This window comes from Homo sapiens, chromosome 4 (genome assembly GCF_000001405.40).
Source record: "Homo sapiens chromosome 4, GRCh38.p14 Primary Assembly".
Classification (NCBI taxonomy): domain Eukaryota; kingdom Metazoa; phylum Chordata; class Mammalia; order Primates; family Hominidae; genus Homo; species Homo sapiens.
The window spans coordinates 146,847,801-146,871,969 of NC_000004.12; the positions used below are offsets into that span (position 1 = coordinate 146,847,801).

Sequence of the window (24,169 nt, forward strand, 5' to 3'; positions counted from 1 at the left end):
CTGTGATCCAGATGTCTGAGTTGCTTTTATCACGCAGCGTGTCTTCACTCGCATACCTGCTGTCAAACTGTGCAGCCTGGATAACTCCAACACCAAAGTGGATGTATGGGATGCTTTGGTGCCTAAATCCTCCCACTGAGGGAACTTCACAGGTACTGCGTTTAACAGTGTGGACTGTGGATACCTTTTCCTCCCCTATGCATTTTTTTTAAAAGTCCACAAAAATCACTTGTACAACTTTAACAATATTTTCAGATGAACTAAATATACAAAATTGTAAAGCTACAAAGTTTCTCAACACTGGAACTAACCTGAAATAGATGCTGCTTAGAATCAAATGTACTGGAAAGAAACGTGAGTGGAAGGCAAAGTTTTCTTTAATAACAGAAAACACACATTATACTTTCTTCACCTCAGCCTATGCAAAGAGTATAATAAAGCATTAATCGAGTATACTTTTATTGACTGAATAAAATTCAAGATATACTTCCACAAATAAGCAGCTGAAATCCTGTACTTCCATTCCAATGCTAAGAAATAATGTTTTTACACAGTTTACTGTGTAATATTATAAGATGAAGAATGGTAGGATAAAATGGTAGTTATTATTGCTATAGGTAGTCATAAAGAGGCTTGGGACAGAGAAGTTTTAAATATTAATATTCATAAAATCACTTAAATCAATTTAACACTCTTTAGTGGTTTATTTAGAGGTGTGATTTATTTTATTCTTTGCAACCAATGCCTTTGATCAGCTCTGAAATAACATACAAGCTGAAAATAAAATGGCAAAACAAACTGCTGCTAGCATTCTTATAGTAAGCTTTAGGTTTTATAGCAGGAACTGTTATATTTGGTGCTTTTGAATTACTTATCAATACTTAGACATTGAGAATTACAGAGCCCAGGAGGAACAGTAGAGAACATTGCCAGTTGCCCTGCTTCCTTAGCCCTGCCATTCTCCCAGCTGGTTCCACCCATTTGGAAGGAACTTAGACCTGTACCTGTCCCCAGGACTGCTCCTGTTCCTGGTCTGAAAGGGTGGAAAGTTGGCATCACATCAGTTTGCTATGGATCATATAATGTTTTTAACCTTTGTTAAAGTGACTGGACTTTTGTCCTGTCCCTTGAGACCAAGCACACATCCCAAGGTGCATCCCAGCCTGGGGAGCTATATTCCAGTCTTGTTCTTCTTGCTTGAATCTCTATCTTGGTGCCTAGCCTGGTCCCTACTCACTGCGAGTCTGGAGACCTACCCTGCTGCCCTCAGTATGCCTGAGTCAGCAGTCTCACCCTTGAGCCCCAGTCCCTGTGGCTTGGTGCTTGTCACTTGCCAATGGTAGTCACTACCATTTATAGAGCAAAACTACATGTGCAGGGTGTCTTATATCCATAGTGCATTCAATCTTCACAGAACCTCGAAATATATATTAATATTCCCATTGTATATCTGAGAGAAATACAATACAGAGAAGCTGAGTGCCTTGCTCTGGAGTACACAGTGAATTGGTGAAGGAGAAAGGATTTGAACTGGGTTCATTGGACTTTGAAACCCATGTTCTTCAGCACTGTGATAGGCTTGCAGCTAGATCACACTAAGCATGATTGTGCTGACCTTGACCTTCACCTACAGCTCACTGCCTTCTGCCCCAGTTGCCAGAAGCTATCCTCCACTCACATACAGGGACATTCATCGCAGCCCAGTGTCTGATGTTTTAGATGTCAACCTCATGCTTGTCTGGTCACAGTGTTGCCTATTAGCAGCTGCTATTTTTTCATCATGAAGATCAATGATTAGAGGTAATAATAGCCAATATTAACTTAGCATTTTTAGGTCATTCCTTTGCCTGAAATGAACCCCTTTTCACTTAGAAAAAAAAAAAGTCATGCTTGAAAATGACCTCCAAGGTCAGCTATGATCCTACTCCTTATCTCCACTCTTCTCCCCTTTTGCTTTTCTCCAGCCTTACTGGCTCCAGGCCCCCAGGCACACTGCCACCTTAAGGCTTTTGCCCTGGCCATTACCACTGCCTGGGTGTGCTTCCCTCGAGTATCTGCATGGCCCACTCTCTCACAGGCTTCCAGTCTTTTCCCAAAAGTCAGCCTCTCAATGCAGCCTTCTCTGATCACCCATTTATAATTCCCTCCACCCTACCTCTTGCCTTGGAACTCCTGACTCATTATTTTGTTGTACTTTTTCCCATAGTGTTTCTCATTGTCTAATATACTGTTTAATTCACTTGTCAATTATGTTTCATCTTCATTGTTAGTTTTCCCCAATGGGAGGGAAGGTCCACAAGGACAAAGATGTCTGTCTGCATTGTTATTGCTGTACCCAAAGCATCTAAAACAAGGCTTGGCAGTATGTGCTCCAAAACTATGTTCTTAAGACTACATGTGTGAGCTAATTTAATCTTCTTAACACCCCATGCATTGGCATTATTATTATTCTTGTCTCTTTAAAGTTAAGGAGACAAAAGCACATAGAGATGAAGCCACAGGGCCAAGGTCATACAACTGGTAAATGGTCAAGAAAGGACTCACATTTGAGCCATCTGGCTTCAAAGACAGCATACTCATCCAGCCCTCTCTTCCACCCCATTGACAAGTAGCTGCCTGACAATGCCACCATGCAGGCTGGGCTCCAGCTTCTGGATCTTTTTGGTGCAACCTGTCCTATTGTGGATTGACCAAGATTACAACAATGGTGTCTTGCAACAATGCCCATAAGGGAACTGAACAAAGTTTAATGACTTGCCCAAGGCCAAGAGCTTGGTGACAAAAACCACAACCAGAATCCAGGATGTCTGATTCCCAATTTGGTGGTCTTTCTGGTATTTTCAAAACCCATTTTGAAGATCCTAATGATTATCTGGCTAATGCTTTCCCATTCCTATGTAACATATTACAAAAAACAATTAAGAAGTAATTTTGGCTTTGAAACCATGTGACAAATATTCACGTTTAGTTACACAATATTTTCAATGGAAAATGTTTATTTTTTAATATCTATGATATTATAAACTTATAAAATGGAGATATAAACAATCATTCTGCTGTAAGCTAATATAAGCTCATAGGGAAAATGAATATGTTTAATTAAATTTAGGAAAAATGTATCGTTAAATCATTTGCATTACAACAGTAAGGACCAATAAACATACCACTTTTTACTATTCCATTGGAATTTTCATCAATATGCTGTATTAACATATATCATCTTCATTTTACAAAGCAAGGGGTGCTAAGAGATTTGTCTGTGATCTGTTAAGCCAGCTGTGGCAGCATGAATAGCATAATCCTTGCACCAACCCAGCAAATCATACTTTTACTATTCTGTAATTTTCACTAACATTTATTGAGGAAGTAGCATATGCCAGACATAGGTCTAAGTGCTTTCTGTATGTTAACTTATTTAATCCTCACAACCACATTATAACTTAGATGCTAGAGTAATCTTCATGCCACAGGTGAAGAAACTGAAGCACAAGATGGGCCAAATAACTCACTCAAGGCTTCAGGATTAGAAGTGTCAGGAACAGGATTTGCAGTCAGGCACTGTGATTCCAAGGGGCCAACCTCCTAATCACTAGATCAAAATCATATTGTGACAATGGTTGAGATGGCAACAGAGAAAATTAAGATTGATGAAAAGGACCCCATACCCCTCCTCTTCTTTCATTTTATCCAAAATTATAAGCATCTCCCCTACCAGATCTTTCAACTGAAAATCTAGCAATCAGCACTTTCACATGCTCTTTCCCTTGCATTTACTGAGTTGCTAGTAGATAGCAAATTTGCATCTGCAGCAAGAAGAGACTGAGGATTGTAGGTATAATATGCTGATTACACTGCTTTCAGAAAAGAATAATATTACTTTTTCTTTTTACAAGTGCCTTAACTTTAGAGCTGGACATATTTCACTGTCAGAAAAACATCCAGAGTTTTTCTGAATTTCAAGGCAAATTCAGCTAGGAAGTTACATCATAACAAAGGAAGAATCCATGGTATCCCATTATCTATAATAATGGAGGGGAAGAAGGAAATGGAAATAAGAAATGGAAAGTAAGAATTCCTGACATCTTTTTCTCTGGAGAAGCTACAAAGCAGTGGGTCATTTCTAGCCTGATGCCACTTACATCTTTGGTTTTTTGAGACGGAGTCTCACTCTGTCGCCCAGACTGGAGTGCAGTGGCATGATCTCAGCTCACTGCAACCTCCACCTCCTGGGTTCAAGTGATTCTCCTGCCTCAGCCAACCGAGTAGCTGGGACTACAGGGGTAAGCCACCGCACCCAGCCCGCCATTTGCATCTTCTACTTCTGTGTCCTGTTGTGCTTTTCTCCAAACTGTGCTGATTCCCAACTGGTCCAGCAGCAGAGGGGCGATTTCTTTTTTAAGCTTCAAGTGTTATTCAATAATAATTTCCACTGAACAAGAATAACAAAATGTTATTAATGCCAATAAGTAGTTCATTAAGTGGAACAGATGAGAATGTTATTAAACATTTATATGGGAAACTTGTGAAGAGGCTCAACAAGTGAGTTTAAAATCATCTTACTGACAACTCTACCAATTACAACAACATCAGTAGTTAGAGGCGTGGGCTCCTGTCTGGCTCTGCATCTGCTAGCTTTGTGACCACGGGCTGACTAGTTAATGGATGTCTCAGCCTTCTTTTCAAACAGCTTCTGCCCCAGTAGCCCTACTCAGAACAGTTTCACTCCTGCAAGGCTCCTACTCCAGCCTGGCTGCATGCATTTGGCTGCCCTCCCAGGCCTTTACTCTTGCTGCTCCTGCTCCAATGAGGGAACAACAGCTTCCCTGTTGCTTCTCTAGCTCTTGCTCCCTATTGTAAGAATGGCACTGGTATATGTCTCTTTTCCATGTAGATAATGCAGTCTTGCACTACAGGAACAATCTACCTGACCAAAAAGAAACTTCTCAGACCTGTTATTCAACACTGTGCACCAAACTGAAGTTTAAAACATCAACATAATTATTACCATTTTTGATCATAGGGACTTTGGACAAAATTACTCAGGATTTCGGAATCTATACGGCTGTATTTTTCTCCCTGTTTTATTGTTTTTGCTTTATAATTTATATGATTATTTTTTACTTTATGAATTCATTTTTAAATTCTTTTATTACTTGTTAAGCATTTAATAATTTTCTTTAATGTTGTGGGTTGAGATAAGCTGTTGAAATGACTAACCTGCTACAATCAATCCTATACTAAAGATTTTTACCATGAACAACCTATGTAAAACCTATTAAAAACATTAATTAAAACCTTTAAATTTTAATGGAATGGAAAGATATAATAGTTTACTTTTTAAGTAGTTTTTCTTTTATTTTTTATTACAAAATCAATATACGTTAATTGTAGAAAATGTTGAGAATACAGATACCAATCTCCCCCAAAAATAGAAAAATTAAAGTCATTCATTATTCCAGCTTCTACAGATAACCACCAAAAACAGTTTGGTAGTTCTAGCATTTTCATATATTATTTATGCACTACATATATATGTATTTATATATAAGTAGGGTCATAATGTACACTGTTTAATAACCTGATTTTTTTGTTCAACATATCAGTAATACTTTCATTGTTATAAAATGTTTATTCATTTTGTAATTTTTATTGGCTGCATTGTATTTCAGCATAGGATACCCAAAAATGATTTATTCAATTTGATATTACTTTACATTTACTTTTTTTCTGAATTTTTCACCATTCCAAACAGCATTTATAGCATTGTATACAGAGGTTATAGCTAGATCTCGGTATATATTAATGATTTTATGAACAATATTACAGCTCAATATTTTCACACATTACTAATTATTTCCCTTAGGTAAATTCCAAAATGAGCAACTCTTGAGTCAAAAGATGTACAAAATTTAAACCTTAAAACAAAGCTATCATTTACTGAATGCTCACTAAGTGCCAGGCACATTACTTCTTTATCTTATTTAACTGCCGCAGCAACTTTATCATTCCTATTTTTCACATACAGAAAAGGAAGCCTACAAGCTAAGTGACTTGCATTCTGTCAGTGACTTGCACTGACAGAGTGGCCAAGGGCTACTCAGGCCAGCACCTGGGATCTTCTGTTTGACGGCTGGGCTCATGGTAAACTGGAATTCCAGGGAATTTTAGTGTCCCTGGAAGCAACTCTTAACCAATGAATGGTGGGAACTGGTGGATAAATGCACCAGCTCCCTCATCCCTCCCCTGGGATAACTGATTTGTTTCTACACTGTTTCCTAGAGCGTCCCAGCAGGACTGATCCATTTGCCCACAGTAATAACTGGCTTGGCAATACACCTTTTCTTGGCTTCCTTCTTTTGCCTGACTCCCTGGCTGATAGAATCCCTCCCAAATAAGCCACATGTACTCAATTCCACATCTCAAAGTCAGCTTCTGGGAAAACCCGAACCAAGTCGTCAAGGTATTGAGTTCAACGGTGCAAAAGCATTCACCTATTGCTGCCCATGCTTTTGTAAAAACTCAGAGAATGCCTTGTAAGCTTTTATGAAATGTCCAAAAATGTGTATTTGAGCAAGAACTATGTGACACATTTGGGTTGCAATCAAAAATATTTTGTGGCCACGTTATTTCACGTTATTTATTTGAAAACTCTGGCACATAGAATCGAGTTAGCCACACTCCCTAGAGCAGGGCACACTTTTATCATTGGTCTGTGTGTGCCCCCTCAATTGTTCTTAATAAATTTTTCTCCTTCATCCTCCGTCCTCACTCTTACTCCCTTTCCCCTCCATAAGCCCTCTCTAATGTATCCCTAAAGAGTTTTTCTGGGACAGATATTCCCAGGAGTGGGCTGGTATGCCACCAGGAAATCACATACAGAATTTCACTCACACCGTCACTCTTGGAATGATGGCCACACCAGCTTACCCTCCTAACTGCAGTTCTTGTAATCTCACATCCTTGCCAAACTTTCACACTATTTGGCTTTCTAACTTTCTAATGTTTTGCCTCAAAGTCATGCTTTTGTGCAAAAGAATATTAAATTCCTCCCTCGAAATGCTCACAAAAGAAAGCTGTTACACACATCTATATAATCAACCCTTGATTGTTCAGGTGCCAAATGCCATTTTGTGGATTAGTTGGTTTCCTTATCTTCTTTCTCTTTTTCTATTCTCGGCCATCATCTTCATCATTAAAAACAATGAATAAGGGGCCAGGCAAGGTGGATCATGCCTGTAATCCCAGCAGCACTTTGGAAGGTTGAGATGGGTGATTCGCTTGAGGTCAGGAGTTCAAGACCAGCCTGGCCAATATGGTAAAACCCTGTCTCTTAAAACTACAAAAATTAGCTGGGCATGGTGGCTCATGCCTATAATCCCAGCAGCACTTTGGGAGACTGAGGCAGGTGAATCACTTGAGGTCAGGAGTTCAAGACCAGCCTGGCCAACATGGCAAAACCCCATCTCTACTAAAAATACAAAAATCAGCTGGGCATGGTGGTGCACGCCTGTAATCCCAGCTATTCTGGAGGTTGAGGAAGGAGACTAGCTTGAACCCAGGAGGTGGAGGTTGCAGTGGGCAGAGATTTCGCCACTGCACTCCAGCCTGGGCGACAGTGAGAATCCATCTCAAACAAACAAACAAATAAATAAGGGTCAATAGAGGACAGTCGTGGGAAAAAATGGAGGTTTAATCTTAAATTCATTTTATTAGTTATTAATGAAACTTATGTGTTGATTAAGGGAGAAAGTTGAAATTACTGGGTAAAAGAGTTTTTTACAAGTATATGGATTGAATATTAGGAGTATGGTATTAATGCTATTTTTAAATCCTAGCATATGTTATTGTTATTGTGCACCAATTATACTGTATAATTTCTAAATGCAATATTACTGTTACTTGTAGATCCATAATTACTTACACTAAAGACACCTTTGAGAATGTTTTGGATAAGTTTTAATATATTTGATTACATTATTTCTTTCTGAAGTTACCCCTTTCATCTCTTAGAGGAATTATACATAATTTGGCTAAATTTGTAATGATGAAGTATGACCCACACACTTATTCCTGTTTAACACATCTAATCCTATAATCTTCTCTGGGTTCTTCTAGGTGTAATGCCTCTTCTTCTTTCGCAGCCTCTAGATCAACGAGTGCTAACAGCTGTGCGTTGCCTCTAGGTCTGTCACAAAATTAGTCTTGTGATGAACTATGCAGGTTGCTTTATTGCTCCAGCGAACATTTTCATACACTAGGCCTTGAACTTTAAGGAGTATACATACATTATGTTCCATATGTCACTATTTAGTATAGTTGATTAGAGTACTCAATTTTCAGATTTTTGAACTTCATCCTCTTAGGATGCGCTAAATAAAAAATTTTATCCTTTCCTTCATTTTTCTCTCACAATGAGTATCAGAAATTTTTGCACTGTTTCTTAAAATGTGAATACCTAGATACAAAAACTTCAGCTTTGTAAAGAGCTACTGTAGCAGTACTTTTTAAAAAACGAATAAGTAAAATAATCATGAAGTTTTGGCCCAAGTGGTATTCTAGATCTCAAGGGAAACTAAAACCAGCTTTCATGTTAAAAAAAATCAATAAATTTTATTACTAGAAAATTTGTATTTATATTAATTTAGGCCACAAACTTTCTTTCCTGACATAAAACATTTCTTTATTTGTAGGAAAGTTTGTAAATTGTAAATTATTACCAAACAGATTTGTTTCAAAAAATAAATATTTTAATTTTTTTGAGCTTTCTGATTTTCTACAATGCTTTTGTCATTTAAATGACAAATACTGTAATTTATATGACAAATACTATAATCAAGGTAAAAAAAGAAACAGATGCATATTTTCCTAAGCTGTAACATTATTATTTATTAATTAATTAAAATATTATTAATATGTAAAAAAACTAGAGACATTTTAAAAAATTAAAAATGATTTAAAGAGCTACTCCTTATTGATGAGGAAATGAAAAAAAATTCAATTTACTAAGATTCTATTCTGTGATCTTTACTACAGAAACTATGTTAAATTAGTACCATAAAGTTACCTGTTTCAATGTTTCAGGAAGGACACAACTTTAAATATTAAGATAACAATAACAAAATTATTAGTAAAACATTTTAAGTTTTTGTAATTCCCCAAGTATTAAAACATATTTTTATAAACTACCTAAAATGCTGTTTTCCAAGTAAGGCTATTTCCAAGTAACTATTCAAAATAAGATCAGATATGGAATATATTTTTATACTATGCCTTAAGATTATATAATAATTCTGAATAAGACATTTTCTATACAATTTGTAAATAAATACATATTTTAAAATTAGAAAATATTATTTCCTTTTAATGGTTTTAAAAAACCCTTTCTTTTGCACATCAGACACTGAATATTTTGAATATTACTTAGCAAAACTTATGAAATGAAAATAAGGTAGGCGCTGTTTGTGTACTAGTGGAAGAGTGTGTGTGTGTGTGTGTGTGGAGGGTAATGCTAAATAGAAAGAGGTCTGAGCCACAACAGTTGGGGGAAATGGGATCTGTAACAGCTGCTCCTTTTAGATTCCCCAAGAAAGAGACTGCCTGAGGTGGGCCACAGGACAAAAGGATAAAGCAGATGAAAACTCTGATGTAAAGCAGGAAAATGACTGCTGAGACCGCTGAGCCTACACCTTGAATCATCTCAAGCTGAGTGGCGAGCCCTCTTTAGCATGCCTTAGAAGCTGGTGATGAACTACACACGACCAGGAGGCAAACTGGCTGCAAGCAGGCTTGTCTGCATGTTATATATTATGATAACCAGCCATCCTCTGGGAGAAGGGGCCATGATTTCCTCTCTGGCAGCATCTGAGCTCCCCTCAGTTACCCAGACCATTAAACCAAGGATGGAAGGGTAAATTTTAGGTAAGGATTTCTAACTGGTGAGTAAAGACAACTTCTGTTTAATGGGCAATGAGTAGCTCTATGTTTAAAGAAAGAAATAACTCAATTTTTAAAAAATAAATGTCATATTTTTAACTCAAAGAGAAGTTATTAACAAATTAATAATAAAATATTTTTCACAAAATGTTGGTTTATCTTCTTTCCATTATATAAAAATATGTGCCAATACAAAGATAAATTTAGGTACTACGTAATGTACATATCATAAATAGTAAATTACAATTAAGAATAAAGTAAGAATGAAGTAGAGACTTTGAATGCATGCTCAATAAATACTACCTACTACAGTATCATTGCTATCATTATCCAGTTATAGTTACATCAATCTGTAGTGATAATGGTATCTTACAGTTGAGAACTGTTTATAATTTAAAGTGTAAACACACATTTTTAAATTTTGGTCTTCACAAAGACACAGTGAAGCTGCCATTAGTATTGTTATTTCACAAATGAAACTGAGCCTCCAAGAAGTTAAGTGACTAACCTAAGGTCACACAGCTAGTGCATGGCAGACAGGACTGAAATCCATGTCTTCCAGCTCCAAGGCTCACGTGCTCTTTCTGTACCACAGTTACCTCTGATATGAACATTGTACATCCAAACCTACAGCCATTTCACATATTTGGCCACTTATAATTAGAATGCCATTGCTATGTATGACTTGACCTATATTCCATTAAAATGCTCTTTTTCATGTAATATATGTACATCAACTTCTCCTTCCAACACTTTTAACTGTGTAGACTTTACCAATACATTTAACATTTGTTCCTATGCTAACTAGGGGTTTGAGAATACCGTAGGTCTAGAGCAGAAGCCCGACATTGTGATTTCATAGATGTATGATCATCTAGCACTTCGGAAAAAATATTTTATGTATATTAATAGTAACATAATAGTTTTAGTTATCTGCGTGTTAAGCCCCATGCTACAAATTTCAGACATATATTCTTCCTTAACTCTCACAAGGCTGTCCTGAGTTAGAGTAGGATTATCCGCATCTTACAGAAGAGGAAACTAATGTTCAGAAAGGTTAAGTCAGTCACTTGTTCAATGTCACATGGTGAGGTGGTAGCAGATCTGGGATTCCATGCTTGATTAGTTTGATTTTAGAGCCCATCAATTAATGATGTTGTTGTCCTCTCACTCCAAAGAGTTGATAAATGTACTCTCTAAAAAGCATTTTGAGAGTGCCTTATCTGAGAAATGCTAGTACTTACTGCCTTTACTTCATACAAATGTCTAACGATCAAAGATTTGATAGCAGATATGAGCACCTATATGCATTCCAGGAAACTCTAATGTCATGATGTCATATTAAACGGGCCCCAACTGTCATCTACATGCAGCCAGGAGATGATAGGGAAGAGTGAGAATGCAGACATGAAGAAGCCATTGCTCTTGTAGACAAACTGATTCAAACTACAGATAGAATAAATGGGGTATCCATCAGAAGATTCATCCTATTATTATATCCTGCAGACATTCAGAACTCTAGAGCTGAAGTATGGGAAATGACACAGAAAGGACCCAAAGGAACACTGAGTCTCAGACATCCTCTCTCTTGATTCCTCCTTTGCCTTGGTTTCTTTGTTCTCATTTCCTTCCCCTCTTGTTTATTATTTTTTATTTACATTTTTTTCTTCTGACATACACTTTTCAAGAATTTCTTACATATAGTGTAAGAAAATCTAAAAAATGATTAATGCAAGTGTATTTGCTTGCCTTGCCTTTCCCAGACTATGAATTCTGGCATAACCCATTTGACATTCCTTTTTCTCTCAAACCAGCGTTATCCCTACTGGGTTCTATTACGCACATAACAGTTATAATTTTTCAGAGGAATGGGTTGTGCAAAGTAGAGATAAGACTGCTGAAAGAGTCAAGATTTATTGACCTGAAAGAGAAAAGAAGGCAGGAGAGAGAAGAGAGAGGAGTGATAACCACATAGAAGTGGAATACAGGGTGGGAGTTTTGGGTTTAGGGAGTGACATAAAGATATGGGCTTCTGAATATCCTGTGATAGACAAATTTAAAAGTTAGAGAAATAGAAGGAAAGAGGATTTTAAGAAATAATGGTGCTGTGAGTTAAGATCATCTCTTTTACTGTTCTTTAAGGGTAATTAAGTAGAAATTAAAATTACTTTTAGTTTAGAATGCTGGATTTCTTTTCTTTTAATATGTCATCATACAAAGACTGAGCCATGGAGAACTCTGAGATTTATTTGGGTTGCATAATGGTTTCAGCAGTAGACAGAAATGTGTCTTCACTTATTAAAGTGACCAAAGAAGAGATTAGTTTTCGGTTTGTCAGTATTAAATCTGCCAAGGTATTTGCATATCAGCTAGATTATCACTTGATTTAAGAGCCCACTGCTATAAACAATGGGTTGACTTTTAAAAGAGAGGTAAACTATATACAGAAAGCAACTAAATGGAAACAACTGTAAGAACTCTCTCCCCCCAAAACTTTCTGTCAGCTAAACATTACAAAGCAAATAAATCATTGATAGAAATTGTTTCTCATACAGTATGGCTTTATCTTTGCTTACATTTATTGAGTTGAAAAAATGTATTACTTTAGTGAAACACTAAGGATATATTATTTTACACACATGATACATATCTTCCATTGTTAATAAATATATATCAAATAAAAATTTTTGGAATATTTTTTCTGATACAGTAGCTCCTCCTTATATGTGGGGAATATGATCCAAGACCCCCAGTGGATGCCTGAAACTTCAGATAGTATTGAATCCTATATTCACTGTTTCTTCCTATACAGTCATAGGCAGGCAGCATATACAGCATGGATACTCTCAATGAAGGATACTCTCAATGATTCATGTCCCAGATGGGACAGAGTGGAACAGCACGAGATTTCATTGTGCTACGCAGAATGGTGCATAATTGAAAACTTACAAATTTTTATTTCCGAAATTTTTCCATTTAATATTTTCAGACTGCGGTTGACCACCACCAACAAACCGTGGGAAGTAAAACCTCAGATGAGGGAAGACTATTTTGTATTACTTATTTGCATTTTTCTATGTGATGCTACTGGTGAGGCTGGAGATATAGGTCAACCACATCTACAAGTTAACACTAATGTTAGAAGCATTCTAAACTGTTACAAAGATGCTAATGTATGTAAACATAGAGATGGCTACTGCTTTGTATATGGAATAAATAATAGTAATGGGGTGAATCCTGTATTTTAAAAGCAAATGAAATATCAATCTGTTGAATTTTGTTTTCATAGTATCATTTTTAAGTTAAATTATTGCAAAATAATAGAAAGCAAATAATTCTCTGCCTGTTTTAAAGATTGAATAAAGTTGGTGTTCCTAGAATCATTAAGTGAATTGATATATTTAGGGAGAAAGGAAATTCATACATAAAAACGAACGGCTAAGAGAGGCCATTCCTTTTCCTTAAAATAACTTTACGTTGGTATGTGGCTGGTCCAATTTTGCACAAGACCTTAGATGTGATTCTTGGTAAAATATTTTTCTCTTTCAAATCTTAGGACCTTATAATATACCTCTTAAAATTTGGAATTTACCCTACTTAGAACATTTACAGGTCTAATTTGATGATGGCCAAAGGGAATTATGTTTTCCTTCCCCAGCACATGGCATATGCAGGTAGCATTCTCCTCGTTAAATGTCAGGGTCTCTATGACCCCTTGCACAGATTTATTAGTGTAACTATTTTTTCTCTTTACCAAATACTCTTTCCTTACTAGTAGGTGTTTCAGTCCTAAATAAATCTATTATTTGTTTTTAGTTTAGCTGTATTCTATCATTCAGTAAAGAGCCCTTTATCAACAAGGAATGAATCACCAAAGTTTTATTCATATGCTTGTCTGCACATTCTTCTATGACTGTATTAATACTTTACTGATAAATTAAAGCCTTTCCATTAAGATACATTAGCAAAATTTCAAAATCCCTTCTATTTCAGATTAATAGAACTATTATTGATTGGGAATATTCACTTGTGTTTATCCAAGTTTCTTTGAAAAAAAAAAGTAAAAATATTTAGATAGATGAATAACATTATTGGAAGGGAGAAAATTATGAGAGGTAGAAGTTGAATCCAGAGGCAAGACACTGAGAATTTGAAAATATTCCAATTCATCAATTTGAAATACAAGTGAGAAGATAAAATTGTATATAGAATTAATGACAACAATTAAAGATAGACTGAATACGAAAAGGAAAGGAAAACGCTAAACCTAACACGACAAAGCTGTTTCTGAGCCTTCTTACCTCTCTTCACAGCTACACTATGACAGGACCATCAGTAGTGCTTTAAAACAGGTGAAGACAATGTTGGTAACACTATGCAAGGTGGGAAAGTAGAATAAAAGAGGATCTCGAAAGAAAACTTTAAAAAATATATGTTGAATATTTACTTTGTGATTACATAACTGGTTAGATCTCCAATCAGGGAATCGATCCTACATATTTATTTATATTTTATCATTATATATATATATATATACATATACACACAAAATATATTCACTAAATAAGGAGTGCTCTCTCCTGCTATAGATTTCTAATAGAAATATTGTAAGCTAGAAGGAATGCCATCACAGAAGACCCTGCAGATAGGAAGATATGTTGAAATTTGCAAGCAGATAATGGATCACTTATGTAACATCGTTACTTTCATCAGGTCCAGAAAGAAAAAAGTAAAAGGAGATTCAATTGAAAATTTGAAGAATGTCCTTTTAACGCAAAGGAAATAGAAAAAGTGTCTAAGATAGGACACTAAGGAGAGTGAAAAGACATTGCCTTCAAATCTGAAGTCAAAGCAAAGCTCTGTTCAAATGTTGTGCTTGGCTTCTGCAAGTCTACAGTTCTGGGTGTGCTGTGTCCAAGAAGCCAACAATATTCTTCCACAAATATTCTGTCAAAATGTAGGCTCTGAAGAAAGTCCCAGGCTTTTCCCAACTGCAAAGGCTACTGGATGATAGCAGTGAGCCTGAGGGCTGGAATACGCCCTTGCCTAGTTTCCCGAAGCCTCTACTCTGGCTGGAGAATTAAATAACAAGAACCAACTAAACCTGGGCCAGGCGTGGTGGCTCACCACTGTAATCCCAGCATTTTGGGAGGCTGAGGCGGGCAGATCACAAGGTCAGGAGATGGAGACCATTCTGGCTAACACGGTGAAACCCCGTCTGTACTAAAAATACAAAAAATTAGCCGGGCGTGGTGGCATGCGCCTGTAGTCCCAGCTACTCAGGAGGCTGAGTCAGGAGAATGGTGTGAACCTGGGAGGTGGAGCTTGCAGGGAACCGAGATCGTGCCACTACACTCCAGCCTGGGTGACAGAGCCAGACTCCGCCTCAAAAAAAAAAAAAAAAAGAATTAACTAAACCTAATTCCAATCCAGGTACATTTACTGGAAATATCTGCATAGAGTTCTCTCGTTCCAGCCCAAATCCCAGGATTTTGCAGTTTGCAAAAATATGCAGTTTGCATGTCTGTTTCTTTTAGAAATACCTGGTATGAAACCATCTATTCTATGTTCCCCTTGCCTTCCTGGATACTCCTGCTTAAGCTCTTTTGTACCTCCTCCTTCATCCAATTTGGCTCTAGGCCTTTTTCTTTCAACACTATTAACTCTCTCTCTAGGAAATCTCATCCACTCCACAGCTTCAATTTGCTGAAAACATACAAATTTATAGAATGTATTATGTTCTCCAGAGAAACAGAAGCAATAGGATAGATGCAAAATCTCTTTTAATCACCCTATGTAGCCATTTCTTAGGCCTGATGGAACAAACTGTGACAAACTAAATGTCTTAAAATAACAGAAATGCATTTCTCATAGCCTCTCATGTGTATATGAAAAGATTTGTTACTTATTGTAAGGTACTGGCTGCCGTGATTATAGAGGCTGAGAAATCCCACCATCTGCTGTCCATAAACTGCATGCCCAGGAGAGCTGGTGGTGTAGTTTGAAGGCCTGCAAACTGGTGAGTCAGTGATGTAGATTCAGACGGGGTCTGAAGACCTGAGAACCATCAGTGCTGACAGTGGAAGATCGATGTCTCTGCTCAAACAGTCTGGTCAAGTAAATTTGCCCTTCCTCTGCCTTTTTGTTCTATTGAAGTCCCCAATGGATTAAATGATGCCCATCCACATAGGGGAAGGCCATCTGCTTTACTCAATCCACCGATTCAAATGCTAATCTTCTCCAGAAACACCCTCAGAGACACACCCAGAAATGTTTCGCCAGCTATCTGGGCATCCCATGACCCAGCCTAGTTGGCACATAAAATTAACTTTCACATATAATATTTCCACTCTAGACTTCTTTTTAAGCTCCAGACCCTCATATTTAACTGTCTACTTGAACTCTCCTTGAATACCTTTAAAACTCCTCCAATTCTACATATCCAAAATTGAACTCTCCATTTCCCTGCAAGCCTTTCACATTCCCTACCCCCGAAAACAACACCAGCATCCACCCAGTTCCACAGCCAGGAACTCAGGGCCCATCTTCGCACCTCTGTTTCCCTCACCTCCTATACTTAGCCTGTTACCAAGTCCTTTATAACTTTTGAATCTGTCTAATTCCTTCCATCTTCACTATTACTGCTCAAGTCCAGAGACTTAGATTAGAAAAAATAAAAAAATAATAATTATTGAAGGTTTATTATAAACCAGGCAGACAGTCTTTTAAAACTTTACATAAATTATCTCTTATTATCACCCTATGTATTAGTTCTCTAAGGCTGACATAAAAATTACCACAAACTAAATGACTTAAAATAATAGAAATATATTCTCTTCTAGCTTTGAAGGCTACAAGTCTGAAATCAAGGCATCAGCAGGGCTGTGATCTTTTTAAAGGCTGTAGGAGAGGATCCTTCCTTGCCTCTTTTATCTCCTGGCGGTTCCAGGGATTCCTTGACTTGTGACTGTATCACTGCACTCTCTGCCCTTGTCTTCACATGGTCTTTTCCTCTGCACATGTGGCTTCCTGTCTTCTGTTTCAAATCTTCCGCCTTTTTCTTATAAGAATGTTTGTCTTCATATTTAGAGCCCACCTAGATAATCCAGAATGAGCACTTCATCTCAAGATCTTTAACTTAATTACCTCTGCATTCACAGGTTCCAGGGATTAGGAAGTAGATTTTTTTTTTTTTTAAGGGGAGTAACATTTAACTCACTACCCTTTATGAAATAAGTACAGTTATTAGTCTCACTGGATAGATGGGGCAATTGAGACTTAAAGAGTGTAAGGGATTTGCCCAGTGTCACACAGTTAATAGGTTGTAGGGACTTAAGCTTCACATATACTTTCAGAGAAACAATTTCAATACTCTTCTGAAAGGAGTAACAGCTTCAAGTAAAGTAGTTCATCCCTTGGATGTCAAATATTCCTTCTTCAATCTATTCATTACTAGACTATCCTACACCACTAGGAATAGGATACACCAGCATTTCCACCTCTAGGAATCTATTCTATGGATAAATTTGTCACATCTGATGAAACTGTTCACTGCCACATCCTTTACAATAAAAGTTATGTGAAACAACCTTAATGCCCAGCAGTAGAAGATGTTTGAATCCATTATGGCACAGCCACACAATGGGATATCATGTAGACCCCTTAAGATAAGGCTTGTCCAAATTAACACAGGAACAGAAAATCAAATACCACTTGTTCTCACTTACAAGTGGGAGCTAAACCTTGGGTACTCATGGACATAAAGATGAGAACAATAGACGACTAGAGGGAGGAGAGCAATGGCTGAAAAACTATCAGGTACTATGCTCACTATCTGGGTGACAGGATCAATCATACCCCAAACCTCAGCATCACAAAACATACTCAGATAACAAATCTGCACATGTACCCCTGAATCTAAAAGTTGAAATTATAAATAAATAAATACAATGAGACTCGTCTATAGTTAATAATGGTATATTATATACTTGAAGTTTACTGAGACTAGATCTTACGTGTCCTCACACACATACAAAAGAGGTTAATATGGGAGGTGATGGACAGGCCAACTAGTTTGATTGGGGAAATAATTTCCCAATATATAGATATATCAAAACATCACATTGTACATCTTAAATAGATGCAATGTTTATCTGCCAATCATACCTCAATAAAGCTGGAAAAATTAAAATAATAAAACTAGGCATGTCTATGCATTAGTATGGAAGAAATTCACTCAGGGTGCAGAACAGTGCATATAAAATGCAACAATTTTCTAAATAACATAAAGGAAACATATATATGCACTTTATGATATTTGAATATATAGAATATTTTCAGAAAGATAAGCCAGAAACGTGTAACTGTGTTTGTCTCTGAGAAAAGAACTGTGAGACTGAGTACAGGGAAGGAAAGAAAATTTAGTTTTCATTGTGAATTTTATTGTATTGTTTGAATTTATTTTGTGCTTGCATTACTTGAGAGAGAAAGAATATCTATGAGCTAGTTTTCACCTAATTTTCCAATTTGACCTACAACTGAATCTCATCTTCCACCTAAGTCCTTGCTTCCCAACACACTGAGTATGTCCATGTTGAGTGTGTACGCATGTGTGCACACACGTATATTTGCTGTTCTATCATTGTGGACTCTCATGTTTTCTACATGTGTAAATCCTGTCTCTCAAAAACTTTTTTTTTGGTGCAGCCTCCCTGGTCTTCAGTGTTGGAACCAGCCACTCTTCCCTTTGCACTTAAAAAGCCCCTGTTCATCCTACTTTGAATTGTGGTTATGCTTGCAAGTTGTTTACCCTCATTAAATTAACCCCTCAAGAGAAGTGTGCATCTGGTTGTCTCTGTGTTCCCCAAGGTATCAGAAACAAAGTTTTGCTGAATGCTAATCATTAATTAAAAAATATTAAGCATAAGAGTCATCTAGGAAAACCTAAGTTTTCTATGCTATCCAATTGTAAGGGGGCTAGAGGAAAATATCTAGCCCAAATATAGGAATTCTACTTAGCAAAAAATATCTAAAGGAACAAAGAAGATCCCAAAAGCTAAAAATTAATCCAATATTGTGTATCACATTGGATTATTATAAGAGATGTAGGTGAAATGCTTTAAATACATAGTAGAGGTAAGAGAAGAAGAAAAAATGACTTCAGTTATAATTCAGGAAAGATCGCTCTTGACATTTTTATTTGTTTGTTTTTAGCCAAACAAAACCTGGTTGCAAAATAGCCTAACAGTGATTTGATTATACGGCAGGCTACTTCTCAGACTGAGACTAACACCCACCTCCACCTCTGTTGCCTCCCCACTACCTGCACTGAAGATATACATCAATGCAGCTCACTGTATTTGCTTTATAACTGCATTTCTGTGTGTGCAAAATTTCCCAAATCATATTATAAAATGACTGTAATTTCTTTTTTGTTACTTACTTTTTACCATCACTTAAACCTATTTCCTCTTGTCCTTGTTGATATGGGCATATGGAGGGCCATATTACTCTATTTATTTAATTTTCACATATCCCAAAGCACTTCATAGTAATTGATTACATACCACTGTACCTTCAATAAACAATAAAACCGATTTTTAAAATGCTTCTAGCATATTGCTATTCTGCTTTAATCTCAGTAAATAGGCACACCTATGTCAGGCCTAACTCATTTCTATTGGCCTTGTAATAACATATAGGAAAATAAAATAAATATACTAAAATAAAAATTAAAAATGGCAGTGATTAAAAGTTTAGCTTACTGTTAATGCTGTTTCATATTCCTCAGCAGCTAAGTGTGCTAAGCCCAAGTAGTAAGAGGCTTCCGCTTCCATCTTTTTGTCACTTCCTGAAGTGAAGATGTAAAAAAATTACCAAGTATTCAATAAATGATTTATTACAACAAACAGAATCCTTGCTTTTCAAGACAGTAGAAAATTATTTTTAAAAGTATGCAGTTTTATCAATAATCCCCAAAACCTAGCTATATACTGAAAAAAAAAGGCTGATGTAAACACAATTTACCTGGATCATAGATATTAAATTAAGATGCTTTAAGGATATAATTATATACCTCATACATGACATACCTCATACCATTTGGCAAATATATAACTTGCTTATATTTAGTTTATAAAGGGGTTTCCCTTTATAAACACAGCCCAATATTATCATTTTGACATTCATGTATAATTTTTATACTAGTCCAGCATGTAAAGGCTTACAGTCATCTAGCATAGTTGCTGCTACATACATAAAACAACTGATAATGGATAACAACCTTAAATGGTGCACAAACATTCATACTCAATCACATGGACTGACATTCAGCTAAGTTTCTAACTGCAGATAATTCACAAATTAATGAATTTTTATTTTGATTATGTTCTGTTTAAGAGCTACCGCATGTTCTCACTCATAGATGGGAATTGAACAATGAGAACACATGGACACAGGAAGTGGAACATTACACTCTGGGGACTGTTGTGGGGTGTGGGGAGTGGGGAGGGGTAGCATTAGGAGATATACCTAATGTTAAATGACGAGTTAATGGGTGCAGCACACCAGCATGGCACCTGTATACATATGTAACTAACCTGCACATTGTGCACATGTACCCTAAAACTTAAAGTATAATAATAATTAAAAAAAGCTATTGATTAAAGAATAGGTGAGAGTAACTGACAGCTTAATTTCCTGGTACAAAATTCCATGCATATTTGAAATCCAAACACTTTTCTTTACTAATCACTGGTAATGCTTTTCATCATTTTTTCTGCAATAAAGTTAGTCTTTCTAATTCCTGCAATATCTTACTAATTTTATTTCAGAAATTAACCACTTCTTTCCAAAAGCAAAATGCGTAAAGATACAACATGGTTCAACATGACATACCTCATACCATTTGGCAAATATATAACTTGCTTATATTTAGTATATTAAATGTAACATTGGCTTCCAATGTGACTAACTCCTGACTAATGCAAATGCTGAGTGATCTAACCTTAGTTTTTGGTCTTTGGAAAGCAAGTGATACGGTTTTGGTGTTTGTCCTCTCCAAATCTCCTGGTAGAAATGTGATCCCCAATGTTGGAGGTGGTGCCTGTGGAAGGTGTCTGTCATGGGGGCAGATCCCTCATGAATGTCTTGGTGCCATCCTTATGGTAACGAGTGAGCTCTTGCTCTATTAGTCCACATGAGAGCTGATTGCTTTAAAGAGCCTACCATCTCTCTTACTCCTTCTCTCGCCATATGACATGCCTGCTCCCCTTCGCCTTCTGCCATGATTGGAAGCTTCCTGAACCCCTCACCAGAAGGAGATGCTGGCACCATGCTTCTTGTACAGTCTGTGGAGCTTTAAGTAAAAAAAAAAAAAAAAAAAAAACCTCTTTTCTTTATAAATTACCCACCCTCAGATATTCCTTTATAGAAATGCAAAATAGACTAATACAGGAAGTATCCTTAGATTTCTGAGCTCCACATTCCAACCATGAAGGATGTCAGCAGGAACAATATTTCTTGCTGCATTCACTCTCACCACTCACCAAATAACCGCTGCTGAAGCAGCGGCTCTTTGAAGACTTCAAGGAAATAGGATGGCAAATGCCAGTGACAGTATTTTTTTCTTCTCTAGCTATTTCCCTGATTGCAGAGAATTATACCTTCAAGATCTCACTTTAGCAGAGTTGATGATGCCAGTAATCCACTAAGGGGAACTTTAATTCTTAAAATTCAGCTGGGCCCTAACTTTTTCTCTGGTACAGGATTATGGGTTCTGGGGATAAATGTGGGACTAGTGAAGGGAAAAACAGAATAGAAGAACGAGGCTATGACAGGAAGCTACTTATTAGAGAGTTAAAAGTTGGCTGTATGTGGTATGTATTTTCTGTGTCAAGTGGTGTAACTGTGTTAAAGCACTAGCAACTGGCCGGGCTGATATGGCACCATCATCTGCATCTAATTTTATGTGAGTGGAAGCTCAGCAAAGAGGGGAAAGGAAAGAAAACATCTATTGCTACTGATACAGTTTGGAAACACCAAATATTAGTTTTTAAATAGTATTTAAGCATGAGAACTTTTCTTGTACATGAATAGAAACAAAGTTAAGATAAAATGAAAGCAATAACATAACAGAGAAAAATGTCGGTAAGAATAGGATTAAAAACAACCAAAAAGAAAAGGTTAGATCTAAAATCTTGGCACTACTAAAATTGAGTGACACATCAAAACTTATGTTTTAGAGGACAGAGACATAAAGAGAGAGAAAATAAATAATAAAGAATAATTATGTGGTAAGGTGTATGCTGACAAATGTTCCAGAGGGAAAATAGAGCAAGGTAAGGGGAATTGGGAGAGCCAAGTGGGGGTCCAGAGGACAAAGCAGGTTTCAATATTAAGTATGGTCATCAGAGTAGACTCCATTGAAAAGGTGGTATTCACAATACTGTGAAATTAAAAATACATAATGGAATTAAATTTGGGAAACTTGCACGTATGTGGAAATTAAAAATTATCCTAAATAAACAATGGGTCAAAGAAGAACACAAGGTAAACCAAAAAATACTCTGAGATGGATGAAAATGAAAACACAACAAACCAAAATGTATGGGATACAACTAAGGTGTGCATAGAGGGACATTTATAGCTATAAATGTCTATATTTTAAAATAAGAAAGTTCTTTCCACCTTATAAAACTAGAAAAAGAGGATACAACTACACTCAAATCAAACAGAGGGAAGGAAATAGGAAAAACTTGAGTGGAAATGAATAACATAAAGAATAGAAAAACCATAGTGAAAATCAACAAAACAAAAAATGATCCTTTGAAAAAGTCAACAAAATTAACAAATGTTTAGTTAGACCAAACAAAAAAGAAAAAGAAGAAACCCTTAAATTATTAAAATCAAGAATGAAAAAAGGTAAATAACTGTAGGCCTCACAGAAATGAAAAGGATTATAAGAGAATTTTGTGGACAATTACATACTAACAAGTTAGATAAAGTAGATGAAATAGACAAATTCCTGGAAAGATACAAACTACTGAAATTGGCTCAAGAAGAAATAAAAACTCTGAATAAATTCATAACAAGTAAAGTAACTGAATTAGTAATTTAAAAACTTCCCATGAAGAAAAGGCTAGCCAGGCTCAGATGATTTCACTGCTGAATTTTTAAAAAATATTTTAAGAATTAACACCAATCTTTTACAAACTTTTTAAGCAATTAAGAGAAAACACCTCCCAAATCATTCTGCGAGACCAGTATTATTTTGACATCAAACCAAAGACATTACAAGAAAAGAAAACTATAAACTAATGTCCCCTACGAATATAGTCACAAAAATCCTTAACAAAATTACTCACAAAGCCAAATCAGTAACATATAAGAAGGATTATACACCACGATCAAGTGGAATTTAGCCCAGCGATGCAAGGTTGGTTCAACATATGCTAATCAATTAGTATAATATAACATATTAATAGGATAAAAGACAAAAACACATGACCTTCTCAATAGATGTAGGAAAAAAACATTTTGCAAAATCCAACCCCCTTTCATGTTAAAAACCCTCAACAAACTTGGAATAGAAGGGAATTTTTTCAATGTAGTAAAGGGCATCTACAAAAAAACCCTCAGTAAATATCATACTTCTGTTTAAAACTGTTGCACTAGAGGTTCTAGTCAGATAAATTAGGCAAGAAAAGATAAGGCACATAGATAGAAGGGAAGCAGCAAAACTTTAATTGCAGATACCATAGTCTTGTATATAGAGAATCCTAAAGAATCCATAACAAACTGTCAAAGCTAATAAATGAGTTTAACAAGGTTGCAAGCTATAAGATCAATATAGAAAAGTCAGTTTTATTTCTACATACAGGTTATGAACGATCTGAAAATGAAATTAAGAAACAATTCCATTTACAATAGCATCAAAAGAATAAAATATTAAAAATAAATTTAACAAAAGAAGGCAGTACATATACACTGACAACTATAAAAATCATTGAAAAAAATTAAAGAATATTTAAATAAATAGACAGATATCCCATATTCATGGATTGAAAAACTTAGTTTGAAGATGGCAATATTCCCTAAATTGATTGACAGATTCAATGCAATTCCCATCAAAATTCCAGCTCCCCTTTCTGCAGAAATTAACAAGCTGATCCTAAAATTCACATGGAAATGCAAGTGTTGAAAACAACTAAAGCAAACTTGAAAAAGAACAGTATTA

The 24,169-nt window shown here is 36.1% G+C and overlaps 1 protein-coding gene across 13 annotated transcripts in view; it reads right to left on the bottom strand.

Annotated features, from left to right (window-relative positions):
• Nucleotides 1-24,169, bottom strand: part of TTC29 (tetratricopeptide repeat domain 29) — a 239,248-nt gene that overhangs the window by 141,184 nt on the left and 73,895 nt on the right. For all 13 annotated transcript variants that reach the window (NR_133922.3, NM_001317806.3, NM_031956.4 and 10 more), the window contains one exon: nt 19,698-19,783. Coding sequence is in view for 12 of the 13 variants with exons in the window: in NM_001317806.3 (NP_001304735.1) it covers nt 19,698-19,783 (86 nt within the window). In the remaining variant the exon portion in view is untranslated. The remainder of the gene's footprint in view (nt 1-19,697; nt 19,784-24,169) is intronic.